This window comes from Homo sapiens, chromosome 3 (genome assembly GCF_000001405.40).
Source record: "Homo sapiens chromosome 3, GRCh38.p14 Primary Assembly".
Classification (NCBI taxonomy): domain Eukaryota; kingdom Metazoa; phylum Chordata; class Mammalia; order Primates; family Hominidae; genus Homo; species Homo sapiens.
This window is the reverse complement of record NC_000003.12, coordinates 130,749,954-130,771,107: the sequence shown is the minus strand read 5'-3', so window position 1 is coordinate 130,771,107 and position 21,154 is coordinate 130,749,954. Positions and strand designations below refer to the sequence as shown.

General features: G+C 38.7%; 1 long non-coding RNA gene across 1 annotated transcript in view; it reads left to right on the top strand.

The window, feature by feature from the left end:
• Positions 1–19,805, top strand: part of LOC107986023 (uncharacterized) — a 142,619-nt gene extending 122,814 nt beyond the window's left edge. The window contains exon 3 of the long non-coding RNA XR_001740492.2: positions 19,711–19,805. This is a non-coding gene — a long non-coding RNA (uncharacterized LOC107986023). The remainder of the gene's footprint in view (positions 1–19,710) is intronic.
• The last annotated feature ends 1,349 nt before the right edge of the window (positions 19,806–21,154 follow it).

Here is a 21,154-nt window from a genome sequence, read left to right as displayed (position 1 = left end):
ATGGTAGAGAGGGGACATATACATTTTCTTGAGGATATTCACAAGCAGGATAGTGTCCTTGTATGGGGAGGGGACAGTCTGAAATGAAGTGCATTGCCATAATGTTTCATTTAGACTTAGAGTTTGGAACAGCTACGTCATCTTGGCTTATTTCTCTCAAAGTCTCTGAAGATTATGTTTAATCACTTATCCAGGGTAGTTCTAGGATGACAGCATTTCAGATTGTGAAACAAAGCAGGTCATCCTACTAGATTAGTGGCCTTTGCAACCCTTGACCCCGGGCCTCATCTGCATAGCTCTGAGCTCTAGCAGGAGCTACTGCATCATCTTTGTCACCTGAAACTGGGGAGGGATAGCCAGAGTTCTTGTGCCAAAGTGTCCTAGGGCCTGGTGCCCTCACTTTGCCATCTATTTTAGGTTGAGTTTTCTGCCTGGTGGGGCCAGGGCTAGGCAGGGAGGAGACAGGGATTCTACCTCAGGCTCTCAAGGATATATATCCTAGTCTGGGCCCACAGCAGTTCTATTGCCATCAATCAAAGAACACTCACATCAGGGAATTTTGTGATGCCAGGATTGGTGAAGAGATGAGATGGTCATCTATGTCCTGTGATTCTCAAGCATGGAGAGTCATCAAATCATCTGGGGAGTTGTGTGTGTGTGTGTGTGTGTGTGTGTGTGTGTGTGTGTGTGTGTGTGTTTTGTTTTGTTTTTGGAGACGGAGTCTCGCTTTGTCACCTAGGCTGGAGTGCAGTGGCATGATCTCGGCTCATTGCAACCTCCGCCTCCCCGATTCAAGTGATTCTCTTGCCTCAGTCTCCCGAGTAGCTGGGACTGCAGGTGCCTACCACCACACCTGGCTAATTTTAGTATTTTTAGTAGAGACAAGGTTTCACCATGTTGGCCAGGCTGCTCTCGAACTCCTGACCTTAAGTGATCCACCCGACTCGGCCTCCCAAAGTGCTGGGATTATAGGCATGAGCCACCGCACCTGGCCTGGGGAGTTTTCTTAAGTTATAGAATTTAAAACCTCTGGAACTTGAACTATAAAAACAAAAAATTACCCCTCCTCCAGTGATTCTGATTATCAGCCAGGTTTAGGAAATACTGATAGGTAATAGCTTTTGGATCCAGGATGTTGAGTAGAAGAATCCTGTAGTTCAGGCAATTATTGACTTGCTAAACTTGTCAAGGTTGTAGGTGCCCTAGAGGTCCAGCTTTATGTGGGTCAGGGCCACCCAAAAGGCAAAGATCAGAGTGTGTCAAGTTGAGGCTTCTGAACTATTTTATATACATCTAGTTTCACATTCTTCTAGATGCTTACGGAGCCCTTGTTTCCTGCTTCTAGAGTATACCCCAGTGATAAGAACTTGCCTTGGGATCCATTAGAGCTTACTTTTTCCTTAATTTTCAATTTTTGTGGGTACATAGCAAGTGTATATATTTATGAGTTACATGAGACATTTTGATACATTCATACAATGCATAATAATCATATCAGGGTAAATGGGGTACTCATCACCTCAAACATTTATCCTTTGTGTTACAAACAATTCAATCATACTCTTCTATATATTTTTCAATGTATAATTAAATTATTTTTTACTCTAGTCACCCTGTTGTGCTAGCAAATACTAGGTCTTATTCATTCTTTCTATCTTTTTGTATCCATTAACCATCCTACTTCCCTCGCACCCGCCAAGCCTACTATCCTTCCCAGCCTTCAGTAACCATCCTTCTACTCCATCTCCATAAGGTCTATTGTTTTAGTTTTTAGCTCCCACAAATAAGTGAGAACATGTGAAGTTTGTCCTTCCATGGCTGGCTTATTTCATTTCACATAATGACCTCTAGTTCCATCCATGTTGTTGCAAATGACAGGATCTCATTCTGTTTTATGGCTAACTAGTACTGCATTGTATATATGTACCGCTTTTCTTTATCCATTAATCTGTTGATGGACACTTAGTTTGCTCCCAAATTCCAGCTATTGTGAATGGTGCTGCAGTAAACACAGGACTGCAAATATCTCTTTGATATACCGATTCTTTTGGGTATACACCTAGCAGTGGGATTGGTATGGATCATATGGTACTTCTATTTTTAGTTTTTTGAGAAACCTCCAAACTGTGTTCCATAGTGGTTGTACCAATTTACACTCCCAACCACAGTGTACCAGGCTTCCCTTTTATCTACATCCTCGCCAGCATTTGTTATTGCCTGTCTTTTGGATATAAGCCATTTTGACTAGGGTGAGATGATATTTCATTGTAGTTTTGATTTGCATTTCTCTGATGATCAACGATTTTGTGCACTTTTTCATATACCTGTCTGCCAATTGTATGTCTTCTTTTGAGAAACATATATTTAGATCTTTCACAAATTTCATAATCAGATTATTATATATTTTTTTCCTATAGAGTTGTTTGAGTTTCTTAAATATTCTGGTTATTAATCCCTTGCCAGAAGAATAGATTGCAAATATTTTCTCTCATTCTGTGGGTTGTCTCTTCACTTTATCGAGTGTTCCCTTTGCTGTGCAGAAGCTTTTTAACTTGATGTGATCCCATTTGTTCATTTTTGCTTTGGTAGGCTATGCGTGTGGGGTATTACTCATGAAATTTTTGCCCAAACCAATGTATTGAGAGTTTCCCCAATGTTTTCTTGTATTCATTTCATAGTTTGAGGTCTTAGATTTAAGTCATTAATCCATTTTGATTTTATTTTTGTATATGGTGAGAGATAGAGGTCTAGTTTCATTCTTTTACATATGGATATCCAGTCTTCCCAGCACCATTTCTTGAAGAGAGTGTGCCTTCCCTAGTGTATGTTCTTGGGACTTTTTTCAAAAATGAATTCACTATATGCGTGTGGACGTTATTTGTAAGTTCTATATTCTGCTCCATTGGTCTATGTGTCTGTTTTTTTATCCCAGTACTATGCTGTTTTTTTTACTATGTAATTTCTCTAGTTTTGTTCTTTTTGCTTAGGATAGCTTTGGCTATTCTGGATTTTTAGGGTTCCACATACGTTTTAGAATTTTTTTCTATTTCTGTGAAAATGTCGTTGGTATTTTGATAGGGATTGCATTCAATCTATAGATTGCTCTGGGTAGTACAGATGTTTTAACAATATTGATTCTTCTATTCTATGAACATGGAATATCTTCCCATTTTTTGGTGTCCTCTTCAATTTCTTTCATCAGTGTTTTATAGTTTATATTATAGAGATGTTTCAATTCTTTGGTTAATTCCTAGGTTTTTACTTTTATTAAATATGATAAAATTGACTATTATAAATAGGATTCTATTTAAGTTTCTTTTTCAGGTTGTTCACTGTTGGCATATAGAAATGCTACTGATTTTTGTATGTTTATTTTCTATCCTATGACTTTACTGAGTTTGTTTATCACTTCTAATATTTGTTTAATAGAGCCTTTAGGTTTTTCCAAATATAAGACCATGTCATCTGCAAGCAAGGATAATTAACTTCTGTCTTGCCATTTTTCGATGCCCTATATTTCTTTCACTTGTTTAATTGCTCTATCCAGGAATTCCAGTACTATACTAAATAACAGTGGTGAAAGTGGGGATCCTTGTCATGTTCTTGATCTTAGAGGAAGGGCTTTCAGTTTTTCCTCATTCAGTATGATACTAGCTATGGTCATATATGGCCTTTATTATGTTGAGGTATTTTTCTTCCATACCGAGTTTTTTTAGGGTTTTTATCATGAACAGATGTTGAATATTATCAAATGGTTTGTTAGCATCAATAGAAATGATCATATGGTTTTTGTCCTTCATTCTGTTAATATAACATACGACATTGATTGATTTGCATATGGTAAACACTCTAGCATCCCTGTGATAAATCCCACTTGATCATGATGAATGATCTTTTGAATATGTTGTTGAATTCAGTTTGCTAGTGTTTTGTTGAGAATTTTTGCATCAATATTCATCAGGGATATTGGCCTGTAGCCTTCTTTTTTTGATGCGTCTCTGTTCAGTTTTGGTTACCAGTATAATACTGGCCTCGTATAATGAATTTGAAAGTATTCCCTCCTCCTTTATTTTTTGGAATAGTTTGGGTAGGATTGGTATTCATTTAAATGTTTGGTAGAGTTAAGCAGTGAAGTCACTGGGTCCCGGGCTTTTCTTTGCTGGGAGACGTTTTATTATGGCTTTGATCTCATTATTTGCTATTGATCTGTTCAGGTTTTGGATTTATTCATGGTTCAATCTTGGTAGATTTTATGTGTCTAGGAATTTATCCACTTCTTCTAGATTTTTCAATGTATTGGCATATAGGTGCTCATAGCAGCCACTAAAAATCCTTTGAATTTCTGTGGTACAGTTGTAATACCTCCTTTTTCATCTCTGATTTTATTTATTTGTGTCTTCTCTTTTTTTTTGTTAGTCTGGCTAAGAGTTTGTCAATTTTGCTTATCTTTTCAAAATTCCAACTTTTTGCTTCATTGATATTTTGTATTATTTATTTTGTTTCAATTTCCTTTATTTCTGCTCTGATCTTTATTTCTTTTCTTCTACTAATTTTGGGTATGGTTTGCGCTTGCTTTCCTAGTTCTTTAAGATGCATCATTGGGTTACTTGAAGTTTTTCTTCTTTTTTTTTTTTTTTTAGATGGAACCTCACTCTGTCGCCAGGCTGGAGTGCAGTGGCACGATCTTGGCTCACTGCAACCTCCGCCTCCTGGGTTCAAGTGATTCCCCTGCCTCAGCCTCCCGAGTAGCTGGGACTATAGGTCCATGCCACCACACCTGGCTAATTTTTTGTATTTTAGTACAAACGTGGTTTTACCATGTTGGCCAGGCTGGTCTCGAACTCCTGACCTCGTGATCCACCTGGCTAGGCCTCCCAAAGTGCTGGGGTTATAGGTGTGAGCCACTGTGTCTGGCCAGTTTTTCTTCTTTTCAACATAGGCACTTACAGGTATAAACTCCCTTCTTAGTACTGCTTTCACTATATCCCATAGGTTTTGGTATGTTGTGTTTCCATTTCCTTTGTTTCATGAAATTTTCCAGTTTCCTTCTTAATTTCTTCATTGACCCACTGGTCATTCAGGAGCATATTATTTACTTTCCATGTATTTGTATAGTTTCCAAAATTCCTCTTGTCATTGTTTCCTAGTTTGTGGTCAGAGAAGATGCTTGATCCTATTTCATTTTTTTAAAATGTTTTAAGACTTGTTTTGTGATCTAACAATTGGTCTATGCTTGAGAATGATCCATATGCTGAGAAAAAGAACATGTATTCTGGAGCTGTTGGATAAAATGTTCTGTAAATATCTATGAGGTCAATTTGGTATATAGTGCAGATTAAGTCTGATGTTTCTTTGTTGGTTTTAGTCTGAATAATTTGTCCAATGCCGAAAATGGAGGTGCTACACTCTCCCAATATTATTGCATTGGAGTCCATCTCTCTCTTTAGCTCTAATAATAGTTGGTTTTTGTATCTGGGTGCCCCACTGTTGGGTGCATATATATTTATAATTGTTATATCCTCTTACTAAATTGACCCCTTTATCACTACATAACCTTCTTTGTCTCTTCTTACAGTTTTTGTCTTGAAATCTACTTTGTGTGATATAAGTATAGCTACTTCTGCTCTTTTTGGGTTTCCATTGGCATGCAATATCATTTTCCATCCCTTTATTTTCAGTCTTTCTGTATCTTTTTAGGTGAAGTGTATTTCTTATAGGCAAGAGATCATTGAGTCTTATTTTTTATCCATTCAGCCACTATTTCTTTTGATTGGAGAGTTTACATTCAACGTCATTGTTGATAAATAGACTTACTCCTGCCATTTTGTTATTTGTTTTCTGGTTGTTTTGTGATCTTCTCTTCCTTCTTTCCTTTCTTCCTGTCTTATTTTTAGTGAAGGTGATTTTTTTTTAGTGGTATGGTTTAATTTCTTGCTTCTGTGTGTGTATATATATGCATTGTATGTTTTATTTGTTGTGACCATGAGGCTTGAAAATACTAACATAACCCATTATTTTAAGCTGATAACAAATTAACAGTGTACAAATAAACAAACAAGGAAAAAGAAAACAAATGACAAGTCTAGATCTTAACTTAATCCCCACTTTTTAACTTTTTGTTGTTTCTATTTACATTATATTGTACTATCTATGTCTTGCATAGTTGTTGTAGTTACTATTTTTGATTGATTCATCTTTTAGTCTTTCTATTTAAGATAAGAGTAGTTTACATACCACAATTACAGTGTTATAATAGTCTGTGTTTTTCTGTGTGCTTACTATTACCAGTGAGTTTTGTACTTCAGATGATTTCATATTGCTCATTAGTGTCCTTTACTTTCTGTACTCCCTTTAGCATTTCTTGTAGGATAGGACTGGTGTTGATGAAAAATCCCTCAGCTTTGGTTTGTCTGTGAAAGCCTTTATTTCTCCTTCATGCTGAAGGATATTTTTCACTGGATATACTATTCTAGGATAAGTTTTTTCCTTCAACACTTTAAATATGTCATGCTACTCTCCTGCCCTGTGAGGTTTCCACTCAAAAGTCTGCTGCCGGCCAGGTGTGGTGGCTCATGCCTATTATCCCAGCACTTTGGGAGGCCGAGGCAGGCGGATCACGAGGTCCGGAGGTCGAGACCATCCTGGCTAACATGGTGAAACCCCGTCTCTACTAAAAATACAAAAAAATTAGTGGGGCTTGGTGGCGAGTGCCTGTAGTCCCAGCTACTCGGGAAGCTGAGGCAGGAGAATGGCGTGAACCCGGGAGGCAGAGTTTGCAGTGAGCCTAGATCATGCCGCTGCACTCTAGCCTGGGTGACAGAGTGAGACTCTGACTCAAAAAAAAAAAAAAAAAGAGTCTGCTACCAGGTGTACTGGACCTTCACTGTATGTTATTTATTTATTTTCTCTTGCTGCTTTTAGGATCTTTCCTTTATCCTTGACCTTTGGGAGTCTGATTATTAAATGTGTTGAGGTAGTCTTCCTTGAGTTAAATATGCTTGGTGTTCTCTAACCTTTTTGTATTGAATGTTGATATCTTTCTCTAGACTTGAGAAGTTCCAAGATATTATCCCTTTGAATAAACTTTCTACTCCTATCTATTTCTCTACCTACTCTTTAAGGCCAATGATTCTTGGATTTGCCCCTTTGAGGCTATTTTCTAGATCTTGTTGGTGTGCTTTATTCTTTTTTTACTCTTTTTTCTTTTGTCTCTTCTGACTGTATATTTTCAAGTAGCCTGTCTTCAAGCTCACTAATTCTACTTGATCAATGCGGCTATTAAAAGACTCTGATGCCCTTTTCAGTATGTCAAGTGTATATTTCAACTCCAGAATTTCTTCTTGATTCTTTTTAATTCAATGTTTGCTAAATTTATCTGATAGAATTCTGAATTCCTTCTCTGTGTTATCTTGAATTTCTTTGAATTCTCTGTCTGAAAGGTCACATATCTCTGTTTCTCCTGGATTTGTCCCTGGTGCCTTATTTAGTTCGTTTGGTGAGGTCATGTTTTTTTGCATGCTCTTGATGCTTGTGGATGTTCATCAGTGTCTGGGCATTGAAGAGTCCAGTATTTATTGTAGCCTTCACAGTCTGGGAATGTTTGTACCTGTCCTCCTTGGGAAGGCTTTCCAGGTGTTTGAAAGGATGTGGGTGTTGTGATCTAATCTGTATCTGAATTAGGGGTCACCCCACGCTCAGTAATATTGTAGTTCTTATAGATTGTAGAGGTATTGCCTTAGTGGTATTGGATAAAATCCAGAAGAATTCTCTGGATCACCAAGCAGAGACTTTTGTTCTCTTTCCTTACTTTCTCCCTAACAGAGTCTCCCTCTGTGTGCTAAGCCACCTGTAACTGCGGGTGGAGTGACACAAGCACCCCTGTGGCCTTCACCACTAGGACTGCACTGGGTCATATCTAAAGCCAGCACAGCACTGGATTTTGCCAAAGCCCACTGTAACTACTTGGCTACCACTTATGTTTGCTCACAGCCCTAGGGCTCTACCATTAGCAGGTGGCAAAGTCAGCCAGGCTTGTGTCCTTCCCTTCATGACAGCAAGTTCCCGCAGGCTTAGGGTGCACACAGAGATTCCATGCAGGAGCTAGGGACTAGAGTCGAAAACCTTAGAAATGTACCCAGTGTTCTATTATATTGCAGCTGAGTTGGAACTCAAACCATGAGACACAGCCTTTCCTACTCTTCCCTTCCCTTTCCATAGGCAAAGGAGCCTCACCCTGTAGCCACTACCACCACAGGCCCACTGGGAGTACTAACGGGCTACTGCTGATGTTCACTTATGGTCCAAGCACTATTCAGTCAGTTTGTGGTAAATGCTGCCAGGCCTAGGACTCACCCTTAAGGGAAATGTGCTCTCCAGTGGTCCAGGGTGGGTCCAGAAATGCCATCCAAGAGCCAAGGCCTATAATTGGGAACCCCAAGAGACTACTTGGTACTCTACCTGACTGTGGCCGAGCTGGTACCTAATGTGCAAAACTAAGCCCCCTTTAGTTTTCTTTCTGTTTTTCTCAAGCAGGAAGAGTCTCTCACCGTAGCCACTACAGTTGGGAATGTGCTGGGTCTCACCTGAATCCAGCTCATCTCAGAGTCTTACTCAAGGCCCCTGGTATACTACCTGGGTATCACTGTTGGTTATTTAGGGCTGAAGGGCTGCTTAGCTAGAAGGTGATGGATCCTGCCAGGACTGGGCCCTTCCCTTCAAGGCAGTGGGTTCCCTTCTTGCCCAGGGTGTGTCTCAACATGTTGTCTGGGAGCTAGGGCCTGGAATGGGGGCCTTATGACTCTTACCAGTGCCCTATCCTACTGTGGCTGAGCTGGCCCAATATGCACGACAAAGTCCTCTTTACTCTCCCCTCTTTTCTCCTCAAGCAGAAGGAAGGAGTCTCTTTTGGAACGTGAGCAGTGCTGCCTGAGTTTATGGGAGGAATAGCACAAGCACTCTCTTAGCCACTTCGGCTGGCTTCTTAGTAGGTGGTGTACCCCTCAAGTCCACTGGTTACGAAACCAGCTCAGCACTATTACTCTCCTAAGGGTTGCAGTCCTTGTGGCCTAGACTGTCTTTCAAGTTTATTAGGGCCCCAGAGCACTTTAGCCCGTGGTGATGAGGCTTGCTGAAACTCAAGTTCTGACCACGGGAATGGGTAATTTCCCTCTGGCTAGGGCTCATCTAGATGCTCCCTCCTTCAGCACACACTGGCTGACTTCAGCTGGGTTTTGCTTTCTGCTGTGATAGGACAGCACTGGGTTGAATGCAAAGTCTCACAGTCGCTGCTCTTTCTCTCTTGCAAGTGCACAGATTCTTTCTCTGTACCATGCAGCCACTGCCAGGGGGATGGGGGAGGAGTGGCATCGGCGATTCAAGACTGTCTTTACTACCCTCTTCAATGCCTCTTTCAGTGATATGAAGTTCAAACGTGGTACCGTGAGTGCTCGCCTGATTTTTGGTTCTTAGGAAGGTGCTTTTTGGGTGTAGATAGTTGTTAAGTTTGGTGTTCCTGTTGTGGGGGACAATCAGTGTGGAGCCTTCTATTCAGCCATCTTCCATTAGAGCTCATTTGTGATGGGCAGGTGGGTTAGGGGGACAGCTCCTCAGCTTCCTGGTCTGATGATATTTCCTAGTGGTTATCAAAAGCCTGATGTTCCAAGAATCTATCCTTGGTTTAGACACGGATTTGGGTAACTGCCACCCTTAGTTTCATAAGAATGTGTTGTCATTTACATCTGAGGTTAGAATTCAAGTAGGTACAGGAAATTCCTAACCAATTTCCTCTCTTAACTGGCCAGGTGAGGTCAAATAAATAGGGAGATGAAAAAAGTGAACAATAAGTTTATATAGTCAGAGGAAGTAGTAGTTATAGTGGAGATGTTGGTGATGATGGTGATATCGGTCATCTGGGTAACACTGATGCAGCCATGATGTAGGAATAGTAGGTGTAATCTTGACAAATGCCTGTGATGACAGTTATTGCCTGGGGCTGGCTTTTAGTTGATCTTTTTCACATGATAGGTGGGTGAGTCAGCTACTTTTAAAAGGCTAAGAACAGAGGGGACATGTATAAATCAAAATTTTATAAATTAAATATTTCCACTTTGATTCATACTATAATTTCAGAGACATTCAATCTTTATTTCTGAATGACCTTTCATTGTCAGTGATGGAGTATTTTAGCCTTAAGTTACAATGCCCTGTTGCCTCTGTAACATGTAGTTATTTTGTAAAGAAATTCCTAAATGATTACAGGAACTCATATTTAAACAATCATTTTGTAAAGAGTAATTGTCATATTTGACATATTTCTATTTTTCATCAGATGAAATTTTCTTACACTGAGAGTTCTAAGAGAAATATACTATACTATCCCAAGGCTACATAACTTGTGAGGAATAATATTTAAAAGGATTCAGAGATAACTTATTTGTATATTCCATTTTTTTTCCTTTGGGTGTTGACAGTTTATTCATTTAGGAAATGAAAAGAAATAGCAAAAATGTGATAATGATATTCTAGACATTAAAATGAGAAAAATAACATTTTGTAGCTACATGAAAATTTTTCTCTCTGGAGTTTAAAATGCTGAAGAGAATAATAGAATTATTCTCTCATCGATGAGAATAATTTCATTTACAGTCAATAAAAATATATATTCCATCACAAGCTCTCCATTGTAAATGTAAATAAGATATACTATGCAATAAATCTCTAAACAACCTACTCCAATAATTAAAATTATTTTATTTTCCTTTTTAGTATTTTTTGTCATCATCATCCTGTGATTTTTTTTGCTGAGCAATATTATATGCCTGGTTCCATGCTGGACTTTTATATATATATGATCCCTGTTAATGCTCACAACAGTCCTATGTGGTATCTGTAATTGCCTCTGGCTTTACAGATAAAGAAACTGAGACTCAAGAGATTTTAAACAACTCATCCAAGGACAGTGGTGCACAGAGGAATGACCCCAGGTCTAAGATCATGTTCTCAAATACTGCACGATATTTGACCACAAACATATGTGATTTTCAAGGAGCATCTGAAGTCATGTAAAAAAATTCCTGTAGCTGTTTTATTTATAGTAATATTATATCACAAACACTTTCCGTGTTTGCCACATAACTTCTTAATCAGACGTCCTGTGCACATTTGCTCTGAGCCTCCACTGGGGTGCACTGCCCTCTAGTGGAATTCTATTCTTCAGAAACTTTTTGCCCTCTTTCTGCCCCTAGGATAAAAAGTTGTTTTCTTGTTGCATAACTATTTATTGTTACTGCTTTATTTTAAACATGATAAAATGTTACAAGGTCTTTTATCTTGTATTCTTTAATGTAGAGAGATATGATTATTCCTATTTTGGCGGGTATGTGGAAAATAAATTGAACCCCAGAGAAATTCAGAAATGTACTTCAAGAAAGAATTCATTGTTCCTCGCGTTGAAATAAACATGGCGCCACTATTTCCTGAAGTTAACAGGATATTTAAAGCATCTCTCCTAAAATTACATTTAAAGGCTTGAGGATATGTCAAATTGTGATAGTACCAGCACTGAAAGACAAAGTAGACTCTCCTGGGATCCATAAATAACTTGGAAATATATTTAAAACACAAGAAATTCAAATAGACCAGAATTTGTTTCTGTCTGAGCTCAGGTTAATTCCTCATTTTTAAATATGTTTCTTTTTCTTTTCTTTGTTTCTTTTTTCTTTCTTTTTTTTTTTTTTTTTTGAGACACAGTCTCACTCTGTTGCCCAGGCTGGAGTACCGTGGTGTGATCTTGGCTCACTGCAACCTCTGCCTCCCAGGTTCAAAGGATTCGCCTGCCTCAGCTCCCAAGTAGTTGGGACTACAGGTGGGGGCCACCACGCCTGGCTAACTTTGTATTTTTTTATAGTAGAGATGGGGTTTCACCATGTTGCTCTGGCTGGTGTCAAACTCCTGGCCTCAAGTGATCCGCCCACCTCAGCCTCCCAAAGTGCTGGAATTACAGGCGTGAGCCACCCACGCATGGCCTAGTTTTTAATATGTTTCTAATGAATCTTTTTCACTTTGATATTGTTAAAAATCCTCACAGTATTAAAATGCATAATTGGATAGCTTTGTTTTAATTAGGAAGGACTTTGGTTAATATCGCATTGTTTTAGAGAAAGCAACAGGGATAATGTTTTTTGTTTTGCTTTGTTTTTAGTGAATTAGGCCATTATTTCTGCTACTGTTCATCAGAAAAGAAGCCCTGGGCAAAATTGCTGATGCTATCACATGGAAAAGGGCTGACATGAGTTGTAATTGCTTTGTGTGCACCCAGTGGAACATGCTGTGGAGGGGAGGGGAAAACCCTTCAGCTTCATCTTTACTAGAAAGCCAGCTCTTCAAAATTAGATGTCTTCTTGTGCTTAGTGAATGACCAATATGAAAAAGGAGAAGCAGCAAAGACAGGGTTATATAGCATGTATAACATTTAATAAAAGAGAGAATCATCCAAGACTTCCTAAGGAAATTATATTGATATCTCTGTGCTCTACATTAAAATTGTTTATTTTCTTTGAGCTTAGGTTTCAGGACAGGTAAGAGGATGGTCAAAACTAACATAAAGCAATTTTTAAGACAAATACTCTTCCAAGTAGTACACAAATAAGTTACCCACACAAGGGTAAAAAAAGACGATGGCAAAATGCCTTCAAAGTGTGGAAATGTAGGATAGGTAAAAATCATGGATTATGTATATTGATAAACTCTTTTGTTCACCGAGAATTGACATTCAGCATATTATATACGAAATGAAAATTTGCCTAGGAAATGATCTTTGCTATTTGTAGACCATGCCATATATAAATACCACATTGCAAATAAAATCTTATAGTTAGAAGACTTGTAGGAAGTTGATGTTTTCTATAGGTTCCTCCCCTTACGGTTTAATTATTCTAAATACTTGTAGAGTGTTAATATTATAAGGCAGGATTTCTCAACCTCTATTATGTTACCGATAATTCTGGTTCCTCCCCCTACAGTTTAAGTATTCTAAATACTTGTAGAGTCTTAAAATTATAAGACAGGATTTCTCAGCCTCTGTTACCGATAATTCTCTCTCTGTATGTGTGTGTGTGTGTGTGTGTGTGGGTGTGTGCGTGTGTGTGTGGGTGTGGGTGTGTGTGGGTGTGGGTGTGGGTGTGTGTGGGTGTGGGTGTGTGTGGGTGTGGGTGTGTGTGGGTGTGGGTGTGTGTGTGTTGCTTTTCTATGAATTGTAGAATGTTTAGCACCATCCCTGGCCCCTAAGGCTAGATGCCAGTAGCAAATACTACCCATCCCCCATATGACAATCAAAAATGTCTCTAGACATTGCCAATAAAATCAAAACACTTGTATATATGGCATGGCTGTTCATTCAAGAGATGAGATAATGGTATAGTATTACAGATTGTGTTTTTCAAAGATGACTGCTTCAACATATATATATATGAGATATATATGATAAATATATATAATTTCATATACATATAACATATATGTATATATATCATCTTGCTTGCTTTTCCTATAATGTGACCTTGACATGCATCAATTGAAAGGTGTGTGTGTGTGTCGGGGAGAGGGTATCTATGCTCCTTTCCCTTGAACCAGGTTGTAACTTTGTAACTGTCTCACTGAATATAAGGTCTATCACTGAAGCTAGGTTATAAAAGGCAACACGGCTTCTACCTGGATGTCTCTCTCTCTGGATGCTTGTCCTAGGAACCCATCCAGAATGTTGTGAGGAAGCCTAGGTCACAGGAAGAGATTATGTGTGAGTATTCTGGCCAACAATCCCAGCTAGGCCTCCACCACAGCCAGCACTGACCTCTAGACATATGAATAAGAGGGCCTCCAGATAATTCCAACCTCTAGTCTTTAAGGCTTCAGCTAAGGACCCAGAAATCATGGAGCAGAGGCAAGCTGTCCCTGTCTAATTCCAGATCCACAGAAATAGATGGACAATAAATTTTTTAAATTACTTTCAACTACTAAGTTTTAGAGTAATTTCTTATACAGCAATATATAGCTAAAATATATAGTTTGAATCAGATCTCAAATATGTGTGTATATATAATATGTATATAATATAGATGTAATTTTTTAAATAAGCAGAGTCTAATATTATTGATTAGGATTAAGATTGGCCAATAATACTGATTTTACCCTGTCCTTCTCCACAACATACAAGCATTCCAAAAGGAGAAAGAATCTCTGTCTTCCCGAGTTCCATTAAAAAAAAAAACTAAATGACTAAAAACAACCAGACTCATCCCATAACTACCAGGTCCTTCTCCCATACCACTACTTTATCACTAGTGCACAAAACATCATATTGATTTATGATATGGCAAGCACTGTCAAACTGAATCAATTAACATTTTAGGGCCATTTCATTCCTACAAGCAAACCACATTCAGCTGCTAGAAACACATGAACTAAAGGCCATGGATTTGGTTTTATTTTCCAAGCCACATGGGCATACCCACCTGCTACAAACAAGAGACCCGTAAAGGTCAGACTATAATAAAAAAGCCATCTCCAGTATAACTGCAAACTCTGCACAGTGACATCCCCTGGAATTAAGTGACTTCAAAGTTCTAGAACAAGATAAATTAGTCAACTTTTTATACTACTTTATCAGTAGTGTAATCTTTGGTTACAAATACAGAAAATCTAACCAACACTGACTTCAACAAATGTTTCTTTTTCCCATGTAATAAGATGTTTGGAGATCAGGGCTGTGGGTTCAGAGGCTTGACTATTATCAGGGCCAGCATTTATTTATTTCTTTTTGTTTGTTTGTTTGAGACAGAATTTGGCTCTTGTTGCCCAGGCTGGAGTGCAATGGTGTGATCTTGGCTCACTGCAACCTCCGCCTCCCAGTTTCAAGCAATTCTCCTGCCTCAGCCTCCTGAGTAGCTGGGATTACAGGCACGTGTCACCACGCCCGACTAATTTTGTATTTTGAGTAGAGATGGGGGTTTCTCCATGTTGGTCAGGCTGGTTTCGAACTCCTGACCTCAGATGATCTGCCCACCTCGGCCTCCCAAAGTGCTGGGATTACAGGTGAGCCACCTTGCCTGGCCTAGGGCCAGCATTTCTGTTACTCTCTTTACCTTTTCCTCATGCCTCTTGAATCGTGGTCATATTATAGCTACTGCAGCTCTGAGTAATGCATCTGTATTCAAGGCTGGAAGAAAGTCAGAGGGGAAATGGGTGGTGCCAGCAGATTTCTCCTTGTATCTCATTGGACAAAACATAAGGCATGGCTGTGCCTCAGTGTAAGGAAAACTGGAAAAACAAGTACCGCCAATGGCCGCATAAAAATGTGTTCAATGATGGACCACATATACAACGTCCCATAAGATTATAATGGAGCTGAAAAATTTCTATTGCTCACCTGTTTGTGGTGATGCTGGTGCAAAATAACCTGCATTGCCAGTCATATAACAGTCTAGCACATACAACTATGCACAATACAGAATACTTGGTAATGACAATAAACGACTATGTTACTGCTATTTTTAGTATATTATACTTTATATCATTAGAGTGTATGCCTTCTATTTATGAAAACAAAGTTAACTGTAAAACAGCCTTTTGTGCTTCTCAGTTACCACTTTTGACTTATTAGTAATGTGATGTTAGGAAAGTCATATACTTCTCTGCACCTTCATTTTATTATCTGAAAAACAGGGACAGTTTTTTCACAGAATTGATGGGCAGTTCAAATGAATTAATATCTGGCATATTTTATGCCCTATACCAGGGTTAACTTTTCATGGTAATATGACATGTTCTGGCCGGGCGCGGTGGCTCACGCCTGTAATCCCAGCACTTTGGAAGGCCGAGGTGTGCAGATCACTTGAGGTCAAGAGTTTGAGACCAGCCTGGCCAAGATGGCGAAACTCTATCTCTACTAAAAATACAAAAATTAGCCAAGCGTGGTGGTGGGTGCCTGTAATTCCAGCTACTCAAGAGTTTGAGGCACGAGAATTGCTTGAACCCGGGAGGTGGAGGTTGCAGTGAATGGAGACTGTGCCACTGCACTCCAGCCTGAGCTACAGAGCGAGACTCTTTCTCTCTCTCTCAAAAAAAAGTAATATTACATGTTCAAATGTAAAGGTCAAATAGATATTGGATACATGAGTTCAGTGACCAGGTAAAGGTTTGAGAGGGGAAAAACAGTATTATCAGCATACTGATGATATTTAAATCCACAGAACTGGAAAAAGTCACTTAAGGAGAAATTTTAAATTGAGATGAAGTACCTAGAAAAACAGAAGATGTTATAAACATATTATTGAATTGATCTCAAGTAGTGAGCACCATATTTGTAGTGAGCACCATATTTGCCAAACCACTTACCTAACTCAAAAGAAAAACTTTGCCCTGGCCAGGCACAGTGGCTCATGCCTGTAATCCCAACATTTTGGGAGGCCAAGGTGGGCAGATTGGTTGAGCTCAGCAGTTTAAGACCAGCCTGGGCAACACAGTGAAACCCCATTCTACAAAAAAATTTTTAAAAATTGGCCAGGCATAGTGGCTCAGGCCTGTGGTCACAGCTACTCAGGAGGCTGAGGAAAGAGGACTGCTTGATTCCAGGAGGCAGAGGTTGCAGTGAGCCAAGATCATGCCACTCCATTCCAGCCTGGGTGACAGATGTGAGACCCTGCCTCAAAAAAAAAAAAAAAAAAAGAAAAAGAAAAAGAAAAACTTTGCCCGTGATGTTTAACATGTTAACAAATGTCTTCACTGTAAAGATTCAAAGAAAAAAAAATCTTATCTGGATTTTGGTCTAAAGAAAAGCTTTTCATTTCATATAAACTAATTTATTCCCCTTTACTGAACAATGAGAACTACATAAGCCACAAATTTACCTTTTGTGATTAGCTGCCACAATTTCAAAGCTAAATTAATAATTTAACTTTTGTTTGTTTGTTTGTTTGTTTGTTTTTGAGACGGAGTTTTACTCTGTCAGCCAGGCTAGAATGCAGTGGTGTGATCTTGGCTAACTGCAACCTCTGCCTCCCAGGTTCAAGTGATTCTTCTGCCTCAACCTCCTGAGTAGCTGAGATTACAGACACCTGCCACCATGCCTGGCTAATTTTTGTATTTTTAGTAGAGATGGGGTTTCACTATGTTGGCCAGGCTGGTCTCAAACTCCTGACCTCAGGTGATCTGCCCACCTTGGCCTCCCAAAGTGCTGTGATTACAGGCATAAGCCACCACGCCTGGCCAAATTTAACTGAAGTTTAATTTATTAATTCCAAGTACTATTTCTCTGCTCCTTTTGAATGAATATTTATTATTTATTTTTTCATCCTTTTATTTGAGTTAATTTTGTAAAATCACTTCAAATCTTTTGTGGAAGAGAAGTGGTGAAGGATTAGAAGTGGATAATAGTGGAAGATAGAGGAATGGCTTGGATATATGTATTCTGTTTGCCCACCTCCTCCTCTGCAGCCAGCATCTCACTCACTGCCCCTTCAATCCCCCACAGTGGCCTACTCTTTGTTCCTAACTTGTCAAACTTCTCCCCACTGCTAGTCCTTTACCTTTACTCTTCCTTTCGCTTACAACACTATTCCCATTGTTCTTTATTTAGCCAAAACCTGTTCATCTCTTACATTCCAGATTAAATGCCCATATCATGGGCATGTCTTCCCTGACTGCCCCTTATTATATATTCTCGTGGACCCTGTACTTTTTCTCCATAACACTTATTATCAATGAAATCCTTTGATTTTTTTGACTAATCATCTTCTTTAAAAAACGTTAGCCCTTTCATTTCCATTTATTCAAGAACAGTTTTACCCAAGATTATACATTCCAAGAAAATTGGAATCTAGTTCTCCCTATCCTTTGTCTGCCAATTTTTTCATATGTAATGGTGAAAGAGCTTTAGGCCAGGCAGCTTAGGTGTTTTTAAATAAGACCCAGAGAAGTGATAGCAATGAAATAATTACCAACTTTTAAAAACATTTCTGCCACTTTGTTTCTCTCTGAAATATTCAATCTATATTCACATTTCTTCAATTATGCATGAAATGTTTTTTGTAGCTGTTTCTAATCCTGGATCCAGTTGAAGCTCACACATTGCATTTAAATTTCATGTCTCTTTAGAATCTTTTAATTTAGAAAAGTCCATCCATATTTTTCATGGTATTGACTCTTTGAAGAATCCAGGCTAATATTCCATTTTCTGGATCTGTCTGATTGTTTCCTGATGGTATTGCTAAATTAATTTTTCTATTCCTTTTATTTTTTATAGGCTGGAAATTGGTTCTAGAGTGGGGTTGTCTAATAAAAACATAACATAAGCCACATATGTAATTTTAAATTAGTAATCACATTTTAAAAAGTAAAAAGAGGCCGGGAGCGGTGGCTCACACCTGTAATCCCAGCACTTTGGGAGGCCAAAGTGGGCGGATCATGAGGTCAGGAGATCGAGGCTATCCTGGCTAACATGGTGAAACCCCGTCCCTACTAAAAATACAAAAAATTAGCCGGGTGTGGTGGCGGGCACCTGTAGCTCCAGCTGAGGCAGGAGAATGGCGTGAACCCAGGAGCGGAGCTTGCAGTGAGCCAAGATCCCACTACTGCACTCCAGCCTGGGCGACAAAGCGAGGCTCCGTTTCAAAAAAAAAAGTAAAAAGAAAGATTCATTTTAATTAAATATTTCCTTAACCCAATATATCTAAAATATGATTCCAACATATAATACTTATCAAAAATATATTGAGATTTTTTCATTTTTTTGTACTAAGTTCTCTAAAATCTGTATGTTTTCTGTACTAATAGCACATCTCAATTTGTAGTAGCCATATTTCAAGAACTCAATAGTCAAATGTAACTAGTGGCTATCATATTGAGCAGTGAGGTCTAGGGGCTTGATTGAATTCAGGTTACACATTCTTGGCAGCCGGGTGAGGTGACTCACACCTGTAGTCCTAGCACTTTGGGAGGCTGAGGTGGGTGGATCACTTGAGATCAGGAGTTCAAGACCAGTCTGGTCAACATGGTGTAACCCCCATCTCTACTAAAAATACAAAAATCAGCCAGGCATGGTGGCATGCACCTGTAATCCCAGCTACTTGGGAGGCTGAGGCACAATAATTGCTTGAACCCGGGAGGCAAAAGTTACAGTGAGCTTGAGATCATGTTACTGCACTCCAGCCTGGGCAACAGAGCAAGACTGTCCAAAAAAAAAAAAAAAAAAAAAAAAAAGAAAGAAAAGAAAAAAACCAAAAATATTCTTGGCAAGAATGCTTCCTGGGTGACAGTATATATTTCCCATTGCATTATATCAGGAGCCTCATAATATCTGTGTCCTACTATTAATGATACTAACTTTGATCACTTGGATAAAGGGGTTATGAAAAGGTTTTCCACTATAAAAAGTTCATTTTCATTCCTTTTTAACATAGAAAATAATCTGTAGGTATTCCTTGGGTACCATGAGACTATCTTGTTGTTCTACAACTTTTACCCAGTGATTTTAGAACCCATTGACAATCCATGTAGAAATCAATTATTGCACTGCAGGTTACAAAATGGTAATTTCTTATAATTTATTTTGCATGTATTAGCTGGCATTCTTGTATAAGAAGATAAAATATTTACTATTAACTTGAAGGAGCTGTTTACATTAGGGATCCTTCCCCCTTGCCTTATTTTTTCCCTTAGGATGCAAGGATAGCAGAGCTCACGTGGACATCTCACAGGACTGCAAGTGCACTGGTGGAGTAAGCAGCCCAGGAGAGGGAGGAAATGAACAGAGATCAGGCAGATGAATGTATTTATAAAGGCAAGGCTAACTGCTATAATTAATAAATTATGAGATTTTGCTGGCTTATAATGGGGTATACTTTTGCGTATGTAAAAGTTCTATGTGAGTGTGCCTGCTAAGCAAGGGTCTTTCTCCAGGCTGTGATTCGGGGACACAGGCTCCTATCATCTTGTGGCTCTGGCATTAACTAGGGCCTTTAAGTCTTCTGCAACCAGGTTAAAGAGGAAAGAAAGTGGAAATCATTCACCTCTTAACTATTGTGTACTAGAAATGAAACACAAAATTTCCACCTGAACTTCATAGTGAAAGCTAGTAAAATGGCTCCACTTAGATGCAAACAGTGGCGTGGGACTGAAAAATATGGTTCCTATAGTTCAGGCACTTCCCAGAAACATCTATTTTCTGTGGAAGGGGACAGTTAGCCATCACTGCCAAAATGCAGCTGCAAGGACACTGGCTAGAGGATGGTCTAGTGTTTGCTGGCTCTTTCTTAGTTTGACTTCAACAGCAGCAAGTAAATTTTATCTTTTATTTGCTTTGAAAAGAAATAGGTGAGATTTCTTTAAATAATTCTCCATGGACAGTCATGATTGCTGTTTAACAATAGAAGAAACGAAAGAAGGAAGAAAGAATGAGAAGGAAAGGAAGAAAAAAGAAAACGAAGAATTGGAAAAAAAAAGAAAAGAAAACCATATGTAGTGAGTATAGAAGGCATTGAAAAAACCCACAAGTTATTTCACAAAATGTAATGTTGGGGAAAAATACATGTTGGGAAAAGCAGAAATAATCTAAATTGAGACATATTTACCATATTTCCATGCCATTATTTCTCTATTGGAGAGATATCTAAAGCACTTACATACGTGGTATTCAGAGTCTGAAATATAAGCTTACTCTTTAAAAAAATATTATCTGGTAATTAACTGAGTGCTTCCACTGATTTTATGTATATATTTTAGATGTTCCCAGTCCTGGGACTCCTGACCTTGGCCCTAATGATCACAAATCTCACAAAGTCCACATTTATTGATTCAAAAAATACCAGTTGAATGTCTATCATCTGTTAGGTATGGTTCTAGGTGTTGAAGACACCCTCGTGAGTAAGAATCACACAATCACTGTTGTTGTGGAGTTTACGGTCTAGTGGTAAAACAGACAATAAGCAAATAGTTATCCCTCAAACTCAAAAGAATTCAATAATAATAAGCACTGTGAAGGAAAAGTAGAAGGTCCATGAAAGTATATAATGGGGGGCAGTCAGTGAAGAATTGCATGAGGTGATGGCACCTAATCTGGGACTTGAAGGATAAAAAGATTTTGGCTAAAGAATAGGGGAAACAG